This window comes from Homo sapiens, chromosome 5 (assembly GCF_000001405.40).
Source record: "Homo sapiens chromosome 5, GRCh38.p14 Primary Assembly".
NCBI classification, from domain to species: Eukaryota; Metazoa; Chordata; class Mammalia; order Primates; family Hominidae; genus Homo; species Homo sapiens.
The window spans coordinates 176,991,415-177,012,506 of record NC_000005.10 but is presented as its reverse complement, the minus strand read 5'-3'; the positions used below and the strand labels follow the sequence as shown (position 1 = coordinate 177,012,506).

Below are 21,092 nucleotides of genomic sequence, written 5' to 3'. Positions count from 1 at the left end.
TGGCCAGGCTGGTCACGAACCCCTGGCCTCAAGTGATCCACCCAGCCTCCCAAAGTGCCGGGATTGCAGGTGTGAGACACTGCGCCTGGCCCTGAAGTCAGTTTCGAAGTCAGTAAGACTCCATGACCCATTGAATCTGTGGGGAGAGGGGCTTTGTGGTGGTGGTCTAGGAGGCTTATAGCTTGAGGGAGAGTGGATAGTAATGTCACTAAGAGAGACAAATAATGTGTTAAATATACAGATTTTGAGGGGAAGATCATAAATTTGGTTGTGAATGTTCTGGGTTTTAACTTTATGTGGGACATAACAGGTGGAAAAGTCAAGTAGGCAATTGAGATTCGATGCTAGGAACCAGGACAGGAAAAACAGATTTGGATGCCAGTCACCAGGATGTAGAAAATCTCCCTAGCAGGGTGCGGTGGCTCACGCCAGTAATCCCAGCACTTTGGGAGGCCAAGACGGGCGGATCATGAGGTCAGGAGATCGAGACTATCCTGTCTAACACGGTGAAATCCCATCTCTACTAAAAATACAAAAAATTAGCTGGGCGTGGTGGCGGGCGCCTGTAATCCTAGCTACTCGGGAGGCTGAGGAAGGAGAATGGTGTGAACCCAGGAGGCAGAGCTTGCGGTGAGCTGAGATTGTGCCACTGCACTCCAGCCTGGGCAACAGAGCGAGATTCCGTCTCAAAAAAAAAAAAAAATTAAATCTTCACAATTTATGTTCCTCTGCCACGGCTCCAGCCGGTCCCTCCGTTTGGGGTCCCTGACTTCCCGCAACACATCTCCAGAACTCTTTTCACCGTGTTGCCTGTGCTTTTGATGTCATATTCAATATATTATTGCCAAATCTAAGGTCATGAAGATTTTCCCATATGTTTTCTTCTAAGAGTTTATTATTATTATTATTATTATTACTTTTTTAAAGACAAGGTCTCACTCTATTGCCTAGGCTGGAGTACAGTGGCTCAATCATAGCTCACTGCAGCCTGGAACTCCTGGGGTCAAGGGATCCTCCCATCTTAGCCTCCTGAGTAGCTGGGATTATAGGTGCACACCACCATAGCCAGCTAAATTTTAAATGTTTTTATAGAGATGTAGTCTCACTATGTTGCCCAGGCTGGAGTATAGTGGCTATTCACAGGCATGATTATAGTGTACTACATCCTTGAACTCCTGGGCTCAAGTAATCCTCTCACCTCAGTCTCCTGAGTAGCTGGGACTACTGGTATGTATCACTGTGCCCAGCTTATAGTTTATTCATTTTTAATTACACAGTAGTGGTTCTTTTTTTCTTTTCTTCTTTTTTTTTTTGTGACAGGGTCTTGCTTTGTCACCCAGGCTGGAGTGCAGTGGAACAACCTTGGTGGCTCACTGCAACCTCTGCCTCCCGGGCTCAAGCTATCCTCCCACCTCAGCCTCCCGAGTAGCTGGGACTACAGGTGCAAGCCCAAGTCCAGCTAATTTTTGTATTTTTTGTAGAGATGGGGTTTTGCCATATTGCCCAGGCTGGTCTCGAACTCCTGAGCTCAAGTGATCTCCCCACCTTTGCCTCCCAAAGTACAGGGATAACAGGCATAAGTCACCACACTTGGCCCAGTAGTGGTTCTTAAAATAAAATCAGAGCATTACAGATATATTAAGGTTTCTTTTGTCCACTCCCAATTTTGTACCTCCAGCCCCCTTTTGAAAAGCATCCTCTGGCCGGACCCGGTTGCTCACTTTGGGAGGCCGAGGCAGGCGGCTTACCTGAGGTCAGGAGTTCAAGACCAGCTTGGCCAACATGGTGAAACCCAATCTCTACTAAAAATACAAAAAATTAGCCAGGTGCAGTGGCACACGCCTGTAATCCCAGCTACTCAGGAGGCTGAGGCAGGAGAATCGCTTGAACCCAGGAGGCAGATCATGCCATTGCACTCCAGCCTGGGCAACAGAGTGAGATTTTGTCTCAAAAAAAAAAAGTATCCTCTATTATGTGTTTATTATATATCCCTGTATCTTCCTAGGCCTATGGGAATACTTTTAGATATATTTACTACCTTCAAAAACATGTGGTATTATTTGCATAAGAATATGTGTGTTTACGTAAATGGCATCACAATGAGCATATCATTCATCTTTCTTTACTCTGTGCTAGGCATTGTTCTAATTTTGACGACACAGCAATACACAAAATAAAGTTTCTATTCTCATGGACCTTACATTATCCTGCCACTTGGTTCTTAAAATTAATATCATGTATTGAGGTCTATGCGTGATGATACATGTAGATCTGTTTCATTTCTTTTTTCTGAGACAGGGTCTCACTCTGTCACTCAGTTTAGAGTGCAGTGGTGCGATCATAGCTCACTGCAACCTGGAACTCCTGGGCTCAACAGATCCTTCTGCCTCGGCCTCTCGAGTAGCTGGGACTACAGACACACACCACCACATGCGGCTACTTGTTTGCTTATTTTTTTTTTCTGGCCACACGGCATCTGTATAATTTTTTATTTTTAAATTTAATTTAATTTTTTGAGACGGAGTCTCACTCTGTCACCCAGGTTGGAGTTCAAGCAATTCTCCTGCCTCAGCCTCTCGAGTAGCTGGGACTTACTGGCGCGTGCCACCACGCCCAGCTAATTTTTGTATTTTTAGTAGAGACGGGGTTTCGCCATGTTGACCAGACTGGTCTCGAACTCCTGACCTCAAGTGATCCACCCGCCTCGGCCTCCCAAAATGCTGGGATTATAGGTGTGAGTCACCGTGCTAGGCCTGTTTTTATTTTTAGTAGAGACAAAGTCTCACTGTGTTGCCCAGGCTGATCTTGAACTCCTGGGCTCAAGTGATCCACCCACCTCAGCCTCCCAAAGTGTGTTTCATTTATTTTATTTAGTTTTTCATTTCTTAATTGTTGTATGTTATTCTATGAATATACTATATAATACATCATTCTCTTATGATGGACATTTAGTTTTATATCAATTAGGATGTTGTCTACTTCAGGTAACAGAAAAACATGACTCATAATGGTGTAAATATTAAGGAAACTTATTATTTCACATCATAGAAAACCCAGAAGTTGAACGGTTGCCAGGTATATATGATTAGGGTCCTAACTCTGCTATTTTCTGTTTTTTTTTTCCTCTCTTCTAAGCTCTGAAATAATTATATGTTTTTATATAACAAATTACCCCAAAACTTAGCGGCTTAAAACATAGGCCAGGTGCAGTGGCTTATGCCTGTAATCCCAGCACTTTGGGAGGCTGAGGCGGAAGGATCACTTGTGCCCAGGAGTTTGAGACCAGCCTGGGCACATAATGAGACTCCGTCTCCACAAAAAAACAACGAAAAAATAGCTAGCCACAGTGGCATGCACCTGTAGTCCCAGCTACTTGGGAAGCTAAGGTGGGAGGATAGCTTGAGCTCAGGAGTTTGAAGCTGCAGTGAGCCCTGATGACACCACTGCACTCCAGTACGGGTGACAGAGTGAGACCTTTAAAAAAAAAAAAACACCAAAAAACCATAAACATAGTTTTCATAGGTCACGAGTTGGGACACAGCTTAGACAGGTCTTTGGCTTAAGGTCTCTCCTAAGATGTGATCAAGCTGTTGCCCTGTGAGTCTTTCCATATGGCTATTTCTCACAGTATAGCATTTGGCCTGAGTGAGCAAATTGAGAACTTGAGATAGTACCCAAGAAGGAAGCCATAGAGTTTTTATCACCCACTCTTGGAAATGACATGCCATCATTTCTGCCTTATTCTATTGTTTAGAAGTGAGTTATTAAGCATAGCCCACACACAAGAAGAGAGATTACACAAGAGTGTGGTTGCCAGCCTGTGGGATCTAGGGCCATCTTACAGGCTGCCTGCCATAGGCTGTCTGTCCTCAGGTTTGCAGAATGGCTGCCACCACCAATGCATCAATAGTCTTCCCTGAAGTAAGATGCCCTAAAAGGATCTTTTTGGCCCTGCACTGAAACCTTTTCTGATCTCCCCACTCCTCAATTCAATTCAATCAACATTTTTTGAGTGTTTGCTTTAGGACAGGCCCATTGCTACTTGTGAGGATTACATGGATCATGTCTTCATAGAGCTCACAAGTCTTATAGAAGAGATATAGACTCATAGAGCAAAGAATTGTAGTATACTGTGGGAGATCGAATGTCCCAGCAGCTGAGGAAGGATGCAGGAGAAATGAACTGAGGTTCAAGGAAGCAGTGGAAGAAATGGTTCAGGTGGGTTTTGGAGGATCAGTTGGAGGTAGGTGGCATGGGGGAGATAGGGCAAAGGCATTCCAGAATGTAAATGTTACAGAAAAGTATTAAGAATAATGTGCCTGTAGTTCCACGTTCGATTACCCTACTGTTAACATTTTCTTACGTTTATTTTTAGGTCTCTCTCTCTCTTTTTTTTTTTTTTGAGACAGAGTCTCACTCTGTCACCCAGGCTGGAGTGCAGTGGTGTGATCTCGGCTCACTGCAACCTCTGCCTCCCAGGTTCAAGCGATTTTCCTGCCTCAGCCTCCCGAATAGCTGGGATTACTGGCATGTACCACCACGCCAAGCTAATTTTTGTATTTTTAGTGGAGATGGGGTTTCACCATGTTGGTCAGGCTAGTCTCTAACTCCTGACCTCAAGTGATCTGCCTACCTTGGCCCCCCAAAGTGCTGGGATTACAGGCGTGATCCACCACGCCTGGCCAGGTCTTTCTTTTTAATAGAAATCATGACAGATCTATCTGAAGTCCTGTTTGCTTCTCCCCACATTTTCCGCTACTCCTTCTTTCACCCCTTTACCATTACCATGGTATCCATCTAGTTCATCTTATATACTTTTACACACATAGATTTTCTGTAAACAGTATATACTGTTCTAATTTACCTATTTTTAAATTTATATAAATCATTTCACAGTGTACATATTTGTTGGCATGTCGCTATTTCAATAACTTAAGTAGTTGTGACCTAGCAAATGTTGACACATATAGGATTCCTTTGTTTTATTTGTTGTAGTATATCACTGTAGGGACATTTGGTGTTTTATTTATGCGAGACTTATTGGACATTTCTGCTGTTCACATTTTCCGCCAGGAAGCTGGCCTCCTTGAACATGTCTTGTGCACACCTGTAGGAGTGTCTGTATTTTTCTTTTCTTTCTTTCCCTTTTTTTTTTTTTTTTTTTTTGAGACGGAGTCTCGCTCTGTTGCCCAGGCTGGAGTGCAGTGGCAGTGACCTGGGCTCACTGCATCCTCCGCCTCCCGGATTCAAGCGATTCTCCTGCCTCAGGCTCCTGAGTAGCTGTTATTACACGCACGCGCCACCACGCCTGGCTAATTTTTGTATTTTAGTACAGAAGGGGTTTCTCTATGTTGACCAGGCTGGTCTCGAACTCCCGACCTCAGGTAATCCGCCCGCCTCTGCCTCCCAAAGCGCTGGGATTACAGGCGTGAGCCATCGCACCCGGCATTTCCGTATTTTTCTAGACGTGAAATTGCTGGGTCATAAAATGGACATTTTAAATTTCATCACACGGAATTGTCCTCAAAAGTGGCCGTTCTATACATTTTGCCCCACAGCTATCTCTGAGTCTGTTGTTACTCCTTGCTTTCCCCCAAAGCGCAAGCAACTGAGACCGCGCAAGGTGCGAGCCGGCTCACGGGCGGTCAGCGCCTCCCGCGCAGTTGGTACGTCCCGGATGGCTCCCCCGCGGCGGGGGTTGGTTAAGTCTCCGCGCGCTGCGCCTGCGCCCGCCCCGAGAGCGTGTCTCTGGCATCGGACGCGCGCGCCCCTCCCCCTCCCCCCGCGCTCCCAACGTGTGGCGGCTCGCGACCCCCGGCAACCCGGAGAAGGTCTACAGAGCGGCCTGCGCCAGCGAGTGAGTACCCGCCGCCTGCGCACAGCTCCGCCCACCCCTCCCTGCCTCCTTTTCTTCCTCAGCGGGTCCGCGGCCCGCTACTCTCCGGGAGGGGCGCTTCCCGACGCCAAGGTAGGCCTCTCCCGACGCCGGGGCGGCCCTTCCTGATGCCGGGGTGTGTCTCTCGCGACGCGGGGGTGGGCTCCGGACGCCGGGGCTGGCCTTGCCGAAGTCGGGGGTGGGTCCCTCCGGACGCCGAAGTGGGCTCGGGATGCGGGGCTGGGACCCTCCCGATTCCGGGGCGGATTCCGGACGCCGGGACCGGCCATTACTGGTGCCGGGTTGGGCTTCTCCAGATGCCGGGGCTGGGTCCTTCCCAAGGTTGAGGTGGGTTCGGGACGCGGGTTGGGTCTCCCCTGACGCCACGCAGGGCCCCTCGGAACGCCAGGTTGGGCTTTGCACCTTCGGTTGCCGGGCGGGTCCCTTTCACACCTGGGGGGCGGCCTGCATCCTCCCGGGCGTCGGGCGAGCGCCGAGCTCCCTCAGCCGTGGTCCGCGCCGCCTCACGCCTCGGGGCGCCAGGCCCGCGCTCCTTCCCGTGCCGGGTTGCTGTTTTGTTGTGTGATCCTCGTTTTCTCTAATTATTTGCCCCGAAAATAACCCCCAGCGCACTCCTTGGAGATCCCTATCGTCCTAGACGATTTCGCCCCCGCAGGGCCGGCGCGTTTCCAGGTGCTTAGGCAGCGCCGCAGGCTTCTCGAGCGCCACAGCCGGCGGGCTGGTGCCCTGCCGCTCAGTTAACGGGGCGCGAGTCCCGGGCAGTAGTGGAGCTGGATTTGAATCCCAGCAGCTGGACTCCAGTGTTCTTTCATTTAATCACTACATCGCACCGAGATATAGAAATGACACCCGGAAAAAGTGAAAAGTTTATGCTTCTGTCTTTATTGTTTTCCTGTCAAGGGAGGCAGTGCCTTGTAGTCGAATGAAAGTGTGTTTTTGGAATCAGATACATTCAGCTTCAACTCTCAGCCCTTTACCAGCTTATCCGCTGTTTGCGTTAAGTTTCCTCATGTGGAACATCGTGATATGAATACCTACGACGCAGAGTTGTTGTGATACTAGATACTAAAGTGTTTGGATTGTATTGTTACACACTTGTCCTAAACTGAGGCTGAATATAAACTGAAAAAATGGAAAATGAAGTATCAGGGATGTATGCGTGTGTAGGTATGCATTTACCTTTTTACAAAAATTACGGAAATAAGTTCATTGTATTTAGTTATTAGAGCGCTTGGTCGACGGGCCTGGTGGCTCACTCCTATACTCCCAGCACTTTGAGAGGCCGAGGCAGAAAAATCACTTGAGTCCAGGAGTATCAAGACCCGCCTGGGCAACATAGGAGACCCTGTCTCTACAAAAAATAAAAAAAATTATTAGAGTGTGGTGGCGCCTGCCTATAGTCTCAGCTACTCAGGTGGCTGAGGCAGGAGGATCCCGTGAGCCCAGGAAGTGGAGGCTGCAGGTGAGCTATGATCGTGCCACTGCCCTTCAGCATGGGCAAGAGAGTGAGACCCTGTCTCTTAAAACCCTCAAAATTAAAAAAAAAAAATTAGCTGGGCGTGGTGGCGCGTGCCTGTGGTTCCCAGCTTCTCGGGAAACTGAGGTAGGAGGATTGCTTGACCTTTGGACCAGGTCGAGGCTGATTGCCCTACTGCACTCCAGCCTGGGTGACAGAGCAAGACCTTGTCTCCAAATAAAGAAAGTGCTAGGTACCTATTTAGGGGTAAAAGTCAATCATTTATAAAGGATTGTTCTTAAGGTCCCTGTGCCCCCAAGCTTTCAAAGCAATTTTGACAAGTTTGGTACCCAGACTGTCAAGATTTTAAATTACCTTGTCAGTGATTTTTCTTCAGATAGATCAAGACGATGGATGTGCTGAAATAAAATGGCAAATAATATCTGAAATTGAGGATTTTCAAGGACACTGCCCAAAATGTTACCTGTGAAATAAATAAGTCTCATTACTGGGGCACCTGTCCTGCTTCTGCATCTTTCTGGAGACATTTTGTTCCTTAATTGTCATTAAGAAGCTGCTGTTGGCATCCAGACTTGATTCCTCCTTCATTGGCAGTTAGTGGTAATTCATTTTAGCTTTAGTTCAATAAGTGAAGATAGACCATTATTTTAGTGAGTTCTTCATCTTTGAAGGGTAGTAACTTAAAAAAAAATAGTAGTTGAACTGTATACAGGCTTGCTTGTTTAAATGAACTGATCAGGGACCTTTCTTATTTACGTTTTTAGAATTACTGTGGAAAACAGTAATTTAATGTGGCTAAATCTCATGAAGCACTGGAAATTTTGGAATTTGTATCTGTGGGGAGCCTGTACTTAATGCTTCTTATTGATCCATCATCTGCTGTGATTCTTTGAAAACCCACCTTGAGCCTGCAGTGGTTCTATGCTGGGTTTTTATTTATTTACATGCCTTTTAGAAATTAGACATATTTTGTGGTATAGCTTTGTTTGCTATCAAATTTGAGCATATTGGTTTAAGTATATGGTACATGTAATCCCAGCACTTTGGGAGGCTGAGGTGGGCAATTGCTTGCACCCAGGAGCTCAAGACCAGCTTGGATAACGTGGTGAAACCCAGTCTCTACAAAAAATACAAAAAATTAGCTGGGCTTGTTGGCACATGTCTGTAGTCCCAGCTGCCCAGGAGGCTCTGGTGGGAGAATTGCCTGATCCTGGGAAGTCGAGGCTGCAGTGAGCTATTATCATGCCACTGCACTCCATCACAGAGTGAGGCCTTGTCTCAGTAACAATACACGTGCACACACGGTACAGGAAACATTTAAATAGGATGGAAACTACTCTGTGTGAGAGGTTTTCCCAGTGCATTACGCTTCTCCAGTCTTCCCCCATACTCATCTCTGCTGCCAAGTACTACTCATGCTATACTCTTAGATTTAAGGATTACCTTAAGTTTTTTGTTTGTTTGTTTGTTTGTTTGTTTTTGAGACAGAGTCTCATTCTGTCGCCCAAGCTGGAGTGCAGTGGCGCAGTCTTGGCTCACTGCAATCTCTGCTTCCCGGGTTCAAGTGATTCTCCTGCCTCAGCCTCCTGAGTAGCTGGGATCACAGGCGCGCACCACCATGCCCGGGTAATTTTTGTATTTTTAGTAGAGACGGGGTTTCACCCTGTTGGTCAGGCTGGTCTTGAACTCCTGTCCTCGTGATCTGCCTGCCTCGGCCTCCCAGAGTGCTGGGATTACAGGCGTGAACCACCGCGCCCGGCCTACCTTAAGTTTTATATCCTCCATACAACTTTTTTCAGCCATATCCTTTTATATTACAATTACTACTCAAAGTATGTTTGAATTCTGTTGTTACACACCTGTCTCAAATTGAGACTGAGTATAAACTGGGATATAAAATATCAAGGGTGTGTGTTTATATGTGTGTGTGTGTGGGTATGCATTTACCTATTTTTTAAAATTATAGAAATAAGCTCATTGTAATTAGTTGATAAAGTGCTTCGTGGCACTTTAATTTTTTTTACCTTTAATTTTATCCTGTGCGTTAAATGCATATATAGCATTTAATAATTTAAATATACACTTTGTGCTCTTTATTCACTCAGCAAATATTTATAGGTGCGTATCCTGTATCAAGCAGCAGTTTTAGTTAGAGGAGATATAAGTCATGGAAATTGGAGTCCAGTTTTCATGTCAGGAGACAAAAGTGCAAGTGCCTACTGTGTTTGGGCAAGTTACTTTTCTGAACCTGTGTTTCCTCATAATGATATATTCTGGTTTCTTAGGATTTATTGAAATATTCACTCATCAAATATTTATTATTATTATTATTATTTTTGAGACAGAGTCTCGTTCTGTCCTGAGCTGGAGTGCAGTGGCACGATCTCCGCTCACTGCAAGCTCCGCCTCCTGGGTTCATGCCATTCTCCTGCCTCAGCCTCTCAAGCTGGGACTACAGGCGCGTGCCACTACGCCCGGTTGATTCTTTGTATTTTTAGTAGAGACGGGGTTTCACCGTGTTAGCCAGGATGGTCTCGATTTCCTGACCTCGTGATCCACCTGCCTCGGCCTCCCAAAGTGCTGGGATTACAGGCGTGAGCCACCGTGCCCAGCCATATTTATTATTTTTAAAAACTTTTTATTAAGATATCATTTATATACAGTAGAGTGAACCCGTCTTAATTGTACAGTTCAATGTGTACACCCGTGTAAGTACCACCAAGGTATGGAACATTTTCAGAAGGCTCCCTTGTGTCTTTCCCAATCAGTACCCTCCAGAGGTAACCGATGTTCTGACTTGGATCACCAGAGGTTAATTGTTTTATTTTTTATTTTTATTTTTTTGGGAAAAGGTCTCACTGTCACCAGTCTGGAGTGCAGTGGTGCAATCATAGCTCACCACAACCTCGAACTCCTGGGCTCGAGATCCCTTCTCCTCAGCCTTCTGAGTAGCTGGGACTACAGGTGCACGCCACTATGCCCAGCTAATTTTTTTTTTTTTGTTTTTTTTTTTTTGAGACAGTCTTACTGTTGCTCAGGCTGGAATGCAGTGGTGCGCTCTCGGCTCACTGCAACCTCTCCCTTCTGGGTTCAAGCGATTCTCGTGCCTCAGCCTCCCAAGTAGCTGGGATTACAGGTATGTGCCACCATGTCTGGCTGATTTTTTTTTTTTTTTTTTTTTTGGGAAACAGAGTCTCGCTCTGTCGCCCAGGCTGGAGTGCAGTGGTGTGATCTCAGCTCACTGCAAGCTCCGCCTCCCGGGTTCACACCATTCTCCTGCCTCAGCCTCCCAAGTAGCTGGGACTGCAGGCGCCTGCTACCTCGCCCCACTAATGTTTTGTATTTTTTTTTTTTTTTTAGTAGAGCCGGGTTTTCACTGTGTTAGCCAGGATGGTCTCGATCTCCTGACCTTGTGATCCGCCCCCCCTCAGCCTCCCAAAATGCTGGGATTACAGGCGTGAGCCACTGCACCTGGCCCTCAGTTTATTCTTTGTCAAGATTGTTTAAACTGTTCTGGGGCCCATGCCTTTCTATATACATTTAGAATAAGCTTGTTTATGTCTACTAAAAGTCTTAGTGGGATTCTTATAGGAATTGCATTAAACCTAAGATAACGTTCTGTGCTCCCAAAGGTTGAAGAAAAAAAACAACAACCTAGGATCAGTTTGGGGAGAATTGATATGTTTACTATGTTGAAGCTTCCAACCTGTGGGCATGGTATGTCTCTACTTATTTAGATCTTTGATTTCTTTCACTAGTTATTCAAAAAACAAAACCCCATAAAACAACTTACGTATAAGTCTATCCACACACCTGCAGTGAACTCATTTTCGACAAAGTTGCCAAGAACATACACTGGGGAAAAGACAGTCTCTTCAATAGATAGTGCTTAGAAAACTGGATATCTATATGCAGAAGAATGAAACTAGGCCTCCATCTCTTGCCATATACAAAAATCAAATAAAAATGTATTAAATGTATTAAATCTAAGACCTCAAACTATGAAATTACTACAAGAAAACTTTGGGGAAACTCTCTAGGACATTGGTCTGGGCAAAAACTTCTTGAGTAATATCCCATAACCACAGGCAACCAAAGCAAAAATGGACAAATGGGATCACATGAAGTTAAAAAGCTTCTGCACAGCAAAGGAAACAATAAAGTGAAGAGACAACCCACAGGATAGGAGAAAATATTTGCAAACTACCCATCTGACAAAGGATTAATAACCGGAATGTATAAGGAACTCAACTCTATAGGAAAAAAAATCTAATAATCCAATTTAAAAAATGGGCAAAAGATTTGAATAGACATTACTCCAAAGAAGACATGCAGGCTGGGCACGGTAGCTCAGGCTTGTAATCCCAGCACTTTGGGAGTCCGAGGCAGGTGGATCACCTGAGGTCGGGAGTTCGAGACCAGCCTGACCAACATAGAGAAACCCCATCTCTACTGAAAATGCAAAATTAGCCGGGCGTGGTGGTGCATGCCTGTAATCCCAGCTACTCAGGAGGCTGAGGCAGGAGAATCACTTGAACCTGGGAGGCAGAGTTTGCAGTGAGCCGAGATTGTGCCATTGCACTCCAGCCTGGGCAATAAGAATGAAACTCCATCTCAAAAAAAAAAAAAAAAAAAGACATGCAAGTGGAAAACAGGCATATGAAAAGGCGTTCAACATTATTGGTCATCAGAGAAATGCAAGTCACAACTACAGTGAAATATCTCACCCCAGTTAAAATGGCTTATATCCAAAAACACGTAATAGGAAATGCTGGCAAGGATGTGGGGTAAAGGGAACCCTTGTACACTGTTGGTGGGAATGTAAACTAGTACCAGCACTATGGAGAACAGTTTGGCGTTTCCTCAAAAAACTAAAAGTATGCCGGGCGCGGTGGCTTATGCCGGTAATCCCAGCACTTTGGGAGGCCGAGGCGGCGGATCATGAGGTCAGATTGAGACCATCCTGGCTAACACGGTGAAACCCCGTCTCTCCTAAAAATGTAAAAAAATTAGCCAGGTGTGGTGGCGGGCGCCTGTATCCCAGCTACTCGGGAGGCTGAGGCAAGAGAATGGTGTGAACCCGGGAGGTGGAGCTTGCAGTGAGCTGAGATGGCACCACTGCACTCCCGCCTGGGTGACAGAGCGAGACTCCATCCCAAAAAAGAAAACAAAACAACTAAAAGTAGAGCTATCGTATGATCCAGCAGTCCCACTGCTGGGTATGTATCCAAAAGAAAGGAAATCAGTATATTGAAGAGATATCTGCACTCCCAGGTTTGTTGTAGCACTATTTACAATAGCCAAGATATGGAATCAATCTGTGTCCATCAACAGATGAATGGATAAAGAAAATATGGTACTTATACATAATGGAGTACTATTCAGCCATAAAAATGAATGAGATCCTGTCATTTGTAACAACATGGGTGAAACTGGAGGTCATTATGTTAAGTGAAATAAGCCAGGCACAGAAAGACAAACATTGCATGTTCTCACTTATTTGTGGGATCTAAAAATCAAAACAGTTGAGCTAATGGAGATAGTAGAAGGATGGTTACTAGAGGTTGGGAAGGGTAGTGGGGGATGGTGGGGAGGTGGGGATGGTTAGTGGGTACCAAAAAAAAAAATAGAATCAATAAGACCCAGTATTTGATAGCACAATAGGATGACTTATAGTCAATAATAATGTAATTGTACATTTTAAAATAGTATAATTGTATTGTTTGTAACACAAGGATAAATGCTTGAGGGGATGGATACCTTATTTTGTATGATCTGACTATTACATATTGTGTACCTGTAACAAAGCATCTCATGTATCCCATAAATATATGCACCTATGTACCCACAAAAATTAAATTTAATAAAATGTATAAGACTTATATGCTAAAAACTAAAATGTATGTTAGAAAACTTAAAAATACTGCAAGATTTTTTTGAGGATTATTATTATTATTTTTTCTGAGACAGGATCTTGCTCTGTCACTCAGTCTGGAGTGACTGCAGCCTTGATCTCACGGGCACAAGTTATCTCCCACCTCAGTCTCCTGAGTAGCTGGGACTACAGGTATGCAACACCATGCCTGACTGATTTTTAATTTTTTTTTGTAGGGACGGGGTCTTGCTGTGTTGCCCAGGCTGGTCTCAAACCCCCTAGCTCAAACAGTCCTCCTGCCTTGGCCACCCAGAGTGCTGGAATTACAGGCGTGAGACACTGCACCCAGCCTGAGCATTATTTTTAAATTATAAAATGAGCGCAGACTTGTAGGAATTTTGAATAAAGGAGAAAAATACGTATACATTCACTACACTAAATTATTCCAAGGTTTGTATAATTTTTTGTTTTGTTTTGTTTTTGTTTTTTTTGAGACGGAGTTTTGCTCTTATTGCCCAGGCCAGAGTGCAATGGCATGATCTTGGCTCACCGCAACCTCCACCGCCCGGGTTCAAGCGATTCTCCTGCCTCAGCCTCCTGAGTAGCTGGGATTACAGGCATGCACCACCACGCCTGGCTAATTTTGTATTTTTAGTAGAGACAGGGTTTCTCCATGTCTGTCAGGCTGGTCTCGAACTCCTGACCTTAGGTGATCCGCCCGCCTTGGCCTCCCAAAGTGGTAGGATTACAGGCGTGAGCCACTGTACCCAGACTTTTTTTTTTTTTTTTTTTGAGACAGAGTCTTGCTCTGTCGTCCAGGCTGGAGTGCAGTGGTGGCGCAATCTCAGCTTAGTGCAACCTTTGCCTCCTGGGTTCAAGTGATTCTTGTGCCTGAGCCACTCGAGTACCTGAGATTACAGACATGTGCCACCATGCCCAGCTAATTTTTGTATTTTTAGTAGAGATGGGGTTTCACCACGTTGGCCAGGGTGGTCTCGAACTCCTGACCTCAGATGATCTGCCGAAAGTGCTGGGATTACAGGGGTGAACCACTGCAAATAAGTATTTATTGATCCCCTATCATTTGCCACAGCATTTGGTAGGTGCTGGGACTGTTTCTTCCTTGCCTTCCTTAAGGCTATAGTCCATTGAGAAAGACAGACATTTCTTTCTCGATGAAAAATCACGCAAATGAGTGTGTAATTAAAACTGTGTTAACTGATTTTGACAGGTGCATGGTACTTTGAAAATGTATAGTAGAGGTATTTGACCAATCTGGGGAGCCAAGAAAGATTTCTCTGAGAAAGTTATTCTTCTGAAGGATGAGAAGGAATTAACTAGGTGAAGGGGAATGTTGGGGAATCTTCCATTCATAAGAAGCAAGTATAGAGGCCTCATGACATTAAAGGAGTATGGCTGGGGCTTAAGAACTGTGAGAGAGCTTAGAAAGAGCAATCTGGCAGGAGGGCAGATAATACGGGACATACTTTGTAGACTATGTTAAGAGCAAAAATGTCCTAACTATAAAAATAGTGGGAAACCATTGAAATGGGTTTTTTTTTTTTTTTTTTTTTGAGACAGAGTCTCGCTCTGTTGCCCAGACTGGAGTGCAGTGGTGCAATCTCTGCTCACTGCAAGCTCCGTCTCCTGGGTTCACGGCATTCTCCTGCCTCAGCCTCCTCAGTAGCTGGGACTACAGGGGCCCGCCACCACGCCCGGCTAATTTTTTTGTAATTTTAGTAGAAACGGGGTTTCACTGTGTGAGCCAGGATGGTCTCGATCTCCTGACCTTGTGATCCGCCTGCCTCGGCCTCCCAGAGTGCGGGATTACAGGTGTGAGCCACCGTGCCCGGCCTGAAATGTTTTAAGTAGTGGAGTACTTTAAGATTTGCAGTTGAAAAGAAAACAGCTTTGGTGTGTAGAGATTGGAGGGGAACGGTGGTAAAAGTAAGGAACCCAGTTATGAGTCTGTTAAAATTGTCTACACGAGAGTTGTTGGTAGCTTGGATGGTGATAGTGGTGAAAATGAAAAGAAATGGAGAGCTTAAAGAGAGGTATAGGAGGTGAAATCAGTTGCACATAAGGATGAATTGGATATGAAAAATGAGGGAAAGAGAGTTAAAGATAACATCTTGGTTCTGTACAGGGCTGGAAGGTGTGTACTAGCTTTCAAGTCTGCCCCAACTCTTTTCTCAGGGCTCTCAAATTTGTGTGTGTGTGTGTGTGCGCACGCGTGCACATAGATCCCGCTGAGCAGGGTTATGTAGGAAGCTTGGGCCTATTGTGGTCTCTGCTGTGCATTTCAACAGCCTCTGACCATTCTGGGATATTTTGAGAGTTTATGAATCCTCCTATGGCTGTCTTATTTCATGGAGCTTCCTGATAAATCTCTGACTCATCTTCTCATTTGTTGCTTGTCTCAGGTAAGACCCAATGGCAGGCAATTGGCCACTAAGATTGGAGTAACGATACTCCACATCTCATCTGTTCCCTTCAGCTGTTGCAGTGCAGTGGTTGGTACTCATATTCTGTCCTTCCCTGGTTAAACTACTGGACTCATAGTTCAACCTGTGATTTGAACTGAGGAGTAGGGTACTGAATAGGGGAGTTGATCCTAGGTGTGAATCACAGAGACTCATGGTATTCTTACCCAAAGTTCAGTCGTTTTCATGAGTGAACATTTCTTAGTTTGTTTTATGCTTTTGGTCAGTTTCCAAGTGCTGAAATGGTTGTCTTGACTGTTTTGGGTTAGCTTTATAGTTTTCTTGAGAAGAGATTTGTCAACCTCCTTACATGGTCATGATGGTAACCACAAGTCCTTTTTTAGTTTGTTTATTGACTTAACACCACTCAGTGACTATTTTGAGTTTTCATCAAGGTATATAACTGTGTAATCACCTCCACAATCAAGATAGAGAACATTACCTCAAAAGTTACCCTCCTGCCCCTTACCAGTAATTTCTCTTCCTCTTCTGACCTGGCTCCAGGCAAATGCTGGTCTGTTTTCCTTTAACTGTTGATTAGTTTTTTTCTAGTTTCATACAGGTAGAATCATAGTTTGTAGTCTTTTAGACATTGCTTCTTTTGCTCACCATAATGTCTTTGAGATTCATCTGTGTCGTTGGATGCATCAGTAGTTTGTTCCGTTTTATTGTTGAGCAATTTTTCATTGTAGAGATAGGTCTCAATTTGTTTATTCACATGTTGATGGATATGTGGGTTATTTCCAGTTTTTGTCCCTTATGACTAAGGCTGCTATGATGAACATTCACGTCTTTATTTCTCTTGAGTAAATACCTAGGAATGAAATGGCTGGGTAATGTAGTAGATACATGCTTATTTTTTAAGAAACTCCCAAACTGTTTTCCAAAGTGGATGTACCACTTTATATTCCTTTTTTTTTTTTTTTTTTTTTGAGATGGAGTTTCACTCTTGTTGCCCAGGCTGGAGTGCAATGGCATGATCTCGGCTCACCGCAACCTCTGCCTCCCAGGTTCAAGCGATTGTCCTGCCTCAACCTCCCAAGTAGCTGGGACTACGGGCTCCTGCCACCATGCCTGGCTAATTTTTTGTGTTTGTAGTAGAGATGGGGTTTCACTGTGTTAGCCAGGATGGTCTCGATCTTTTCACCTCGTGATCCACCCGCCTTGGACTCCCAAAGTGCTAGGATTACAGGTGTGAGCCACCGTGCCTGGCCTTTTTTTTTTTTTTTTTTTTTTTTGGAGACAGAGTCTTTCTCTGTCACCCAGTCTGGAGTGCAGTGGTATGGTCTCGGCTCCTGAGTTCAAGCAATTCAATTCTCCTACCCCAGCCTCCTGAGTAACTGGAATTACAGGTGCATGTCACCACACCCAGCTAATTTTTGCATTTTTAGTAAAGACGGGGTTTCACTGTGTTGGCCAGGCTGGTCTCAAATCCTTGTCCTCAAGCAATCTGCCTATCTCGACCTCCCAAAGTGCTGGGATTACAAGTGTGAGCCACCATGCCCAGCCCACAAGTTGTCATTTCATCTGTTGATGGAATCTGGGTTGTCTTTGGTGTTTGACATTATGGAAAGAGCTGCTATGAACATACATATACAAGTTTTTGGGTGGTAATGTTTTCATTTCTACTGAGTAATTAATAGTAGTGGAATTGAAGCAAAGTTAAAAAGAGAAAAACAAGTTTTCCTGTACTTGGCTGACTCACTCCAAGGCCAGCAATAGGCAGGGCCCTGGCAGAGCCTTGATAACACTATCTGAAAAGCCAGAGCCCAAAGGAATGAGCTCCAGATACTCTCCCAGCACACTGCCCCCCACACCCCGCCCCAGAGTGAGGATAAGAAAAGAAAACAAATTCCTTTCTCATAACTATTTCTACAAATACCTGTGTTTCACAAGTTTTGTAAGTTCCTGTTTTCCCTACTGTGCAGCTGCATGATCACAAGCTATGCCTGCGTTGCGAGACCTGTCGCAATTTAATTAACTGCCTTTGTTCTGCTTCTGTAAGCCTGCTTGCCTGCCCCATGAGTTTCGCACTGTCACATTCCCACCGCACCATTCAAACTAGCCAACTCCCTTTCAGAAGTGTGTATAAAAGTCAAGCCCTGTCTTTGTTGAGGGCTCAGCCTTTGGATGTTAATCTGCTGGGCTGGTGGCCACCTAAAGAAAATCCTCCTGTTCCACGCATTGGTCTCTCCAGTCTCCAGATTCCTGCAACAGAATGACTGGCTTACATGACAGTTATACTTTTTTTTTTTTTTTTTTTTTAAAGAAACTGCCAGTTTTCCAAAGTGGTTATGCCATTTTACATTCCCATTAGCAGTATATGAGAGGTTCATTATATTCTGCATTCCTGCCCACATTTGTATTGTCACTATTTTCAATTTTAGCCATTCTAATGGATATACAGTGTTAGGCCATTGTAAATTTAATTTGTAATTTCTTGATGAATAATGATATTGAATATCTGTTTGTTTTTCCTTATTGGCCTTTAGTATATCTGCTTTTGTGAAGTTTGTTAATATCGCTTGCTTCTTTTAAATATTGGTTTGTCTTTTTTTATTTTTTCTTTTGAGATAGGGTCTCAGTGTGTTGTTCAGGCTGGAGTGTAATTTTTGGAATCCACCTAGAGATGTAAAGTGACATAGCCAGCCTCCCAGTGTTTATGTGTTTAATAAGCATGTTTATGCTGCATTACCCAAGTGTTTTTTACTATTTCATCCTTTTCACACTTTGATTTTTGTATACTTTCTTCTTTTTTTTTTTTTTTGAGATAGAGTTTCACTCTTGTTACCCAGGCTGGACTGCAGTGGTGTGATCTTGGCTCACTGCAACCTCTGCTTCCTGAGTGCAAGCAGTTCTCCTGCCTCAGCCTCCCAAGTAGCTGGGACTACAAGTGCCTGCCACCATTCCCAGCTAATTTTTGTATTTTTAGTAGAGACGGGGTTTCACCATGTTGACCAGGCTGGTCTCAAACTCCTGACCTCAGGTGATCCTCCTGCCTCAGCCTCCCAATGTGGTGGGATTACAGGCGTGAGCCACCGCGCCTGGCAGATTTTTGTATGTTTTCCAGTACACAAAATACATACATTAGTATTCATATAGTTAAAAAAGTAAATATACATATGTTGTGGTTGTGCCTTACAAATTATCAGTAGAGATACTTTATAATTATTAGACTTTAAGTCTTTAAGTTCTGGGGTACATGTGCAGAACGTACAGGTTTTTTATATAGGTATATTCGTGCCATGATGATTAGATATATTTTTAAAAGGTAAGAAAATATTTGTGCCTGGGCATGGAGGCTCACATCTGTAATCCCAGCACTTTGGGAGACCTGGGTGGGAGGATCACTTGAGCCCAGGAGTTCGAGACCAGTCTGGGCAATGTAGTGAGACCTTGTCTCTACAAAAAATAAAAAGTAAATTAGCTGGGTGTGGTGGCACATGCCTGTGGTCCTAGCTACTTGGGAGGTTGAGATGGAAGAATTGCTTGAGTCTAGGAGGTTGAGATTGTGGTGAGCCGTGTTGGCCTCATAAAGTGCTGGGATTACAGCATGAGCCACTGCACCCGGCCAAGAATTTTTTTTTTTTTTTTTGAGATGGAGTCTTGCTCTGTTGCCCAGGCTGGAGTGCAGTGGCACAGTCTTGGCTCAACCCCTGTCTCTGGGGTTCAAATGATTCTCATGCCTCAGCCTCCCCAGTAGCTGGGATTATAGGTGCACACCACCATGCCCAGCTGATTTTTGTATTTTTAGTAGAGATGGGGTTTCGCCATGTTGGCCATGCTGGTCTCCAACTCCTGATCTCAGGTGATCCACCTGCCTCAGCCTCCCAAAGTGCTGGGATTACAGGCGTGAGCCAACATTTCTGGCCCAATAATTGTTTGTATATTCTGGATACAAGTCTTTTGCAAGATAAATGTATTGCACATATTTTCTTCCATTCTATGGTGGCTTTTTGTTTTCTTTTTTGATACGGGGTCTTACTCTGTTGCCTAGGCTGGAGTGCAGTAGCATGACCACATCTCATTGCAGCTTTGACCTCCCTGGTTCAGGTGATTCTTCCACTTCAGCCTTCTGAGTAGCTGGAACTACAGGTGTGTGCCACCATACCCAGCTAATTAAAAAAAATTTTTTTTTTTTTATAGAGACAAGGCCTTGCTATTTTGCCCAGATTGTCATTCTGTGGCTTCTTAATGGTCTTTTTTTAAAGAGCAGAAGTTTTAAATTTCAATAAAGTCAAATTTATCAATTTAAAAAATTTCTTTATGTCCTAAGAAAGCTTTATTTACTTAGTCACCTTTTTTTTTTTTTAAACTGAGACAGGGTCTCACTATGTTGCTGAGGCTCGTCTTGAACGCTTGAGTTCTAGTGATCCTTCTGCCTTGGCTCCCCAAAGTGCTGGGATTACAGGCATGTGCCACTATTCCTGGCCAAATCTTGATAGTTCTACACTCTTTTGGGTCTTTCGCTCCTTTGAGAATTCAATAAAAAATATAAAAATTTTTCCAAGGAAGATACAGAAAAAACCAATTTTACACACAATTTTAGTTAATCCCCTGAAGCCAATCTATAGATTCTTTAAGGGCTTTTGGATTGACAGGTTAAGAACTCTTGGCTGGCAGTTCTCTAAGTATTAATCTATCTCTTCTTTTGAGATGAGGTCTCACTCTGTTGCCCAGGCTAGAGTGCAGTGGCGCCATCATGGCTCAATGCAGCCTCCACCTCCCTAGGCTCAGGTGATCATGCCACTTTAGCCTCTCAAGTAGCTGGGACTATAGGTGTGCACCACCACACCTGGCTAATTTTTAAAATTTTTTTGTAGAGGTGGGGTCTTTCTTTTTTTGAAACGGAGTCTCGCTCTGTCTCACAGGCTGGAGTGCAGTGACACAATCTCGGCTCACTGCAAGCTCTGCCTCCCAGGTTCACGCCATTCTCCTGCCTCAGCCTCCCGAGTAGATGGGACTACAGTTGCCTGCCACCACGCCCGGCGAATTTTTTGTATTTTTAGTAGACTTGGGGTTTCACCGTGTTAGCCAGGATGGTTTCGATCTCCTGACCTCGTGATCTGCCCGCCTCGGCCTCTCAAAGTGCTGAGATTACAGGTGTGAGCCACCGCGCCTGGCCTTTTTTTTTTTTTTTTTTTTGAGACGGAGTTTCACTCTTGTTGCCCAGGCTTGAATGCAATAGTGCCACCATGCCTGGCTAATTTTGTATTTTTAGTAGAGATGGGATTTCTCCATGTTGGTCAGGCTGGTCTTGAGCTCCCGACCTCAGGTGATCGAGAGGCAGTCTTTCTGTGTTGCCCAGGCTGGTCAGATCTGTCTTCTCAATTTGCCAGATTTCATATTCTTTCCCCTCAG

At 44.6% G+C, this 21,092-nt stretch overlaps 1 protein-coding gene across 14 annotated transcripts in view, besides 3 other annotated features; it reads left to right on the top strand.

Moving 5' to 3' along the window:
• Nucleotides 1-21,092, top strand: part of UIMC1 (ubiquitin interaction motif containing 1) — a 117,598-nt gene that overhangs the window by 10,096 nt on the left and 86,410 nt on the right. For 5 of the 14 annotated variants that reach the window (NR_146150.1, NR_146149.1, XM_005265932.4 and 2 more), the window contains exon 1: nucleotides 5,713-5,857. The exons of 2 other annotated variants lie outside the window; for them this stretch is intronic. The gene's annotated coding sequence lies outside the window, so the exon portion shown is untranslated. Of the gene's footprint in view, nucleotides 1-5,712; nucleotides 5,969-6,064; nucleotides 6,224-10,395; nucleotides 10,510-21,092 lie in introns of those variants that run through there. 7 more of the 14 variants (XM_005265933.3, NM_001317961.1, XM_005265930.3 and 4 more) reach the window with 4 other exon arrangements.
• Nucleotides 5,603-5,702: a silencer, noted in NCBI's record as "silent region_16668". NCBI's record gives its function as "represses an Ori minimal core promoter by ATAC-STARR-seq in GM12878 lymphoblastoid cells {active_cell/tissue: GM12878}" and the evidence as "EXISTENCE:reporter gene assay evidence [ECO:0000049][PMID:35858748]".
• Nucleotides 5,713-6,102: a silencer, noted in NCBI's record as "silent region_16667". NCBI's record gives its function as "represses an Ori minimal core promoter by ATAC-STARR-seq in GM12878 lymphoblastoid cells {active_cell/tissue: GM12878}" and the evidence as "EXISTENCE:reporter gene assay evidence [ECO:0000049][PMID:35858748]".
• Nucleotides 6,473-6,522: a silencer, noted in NCBI's record as "silent region_16666". NCBI's record gives its function as "represses an Ori minimal core promoter by ATAC-STARR-seq in GM12878 lymphoblastoid cells {active_cell/tissue: GM12878}" and the evidence as "EXISTENCE:reporter gene assay evidence [ECO:0000049][PMID:35858748]".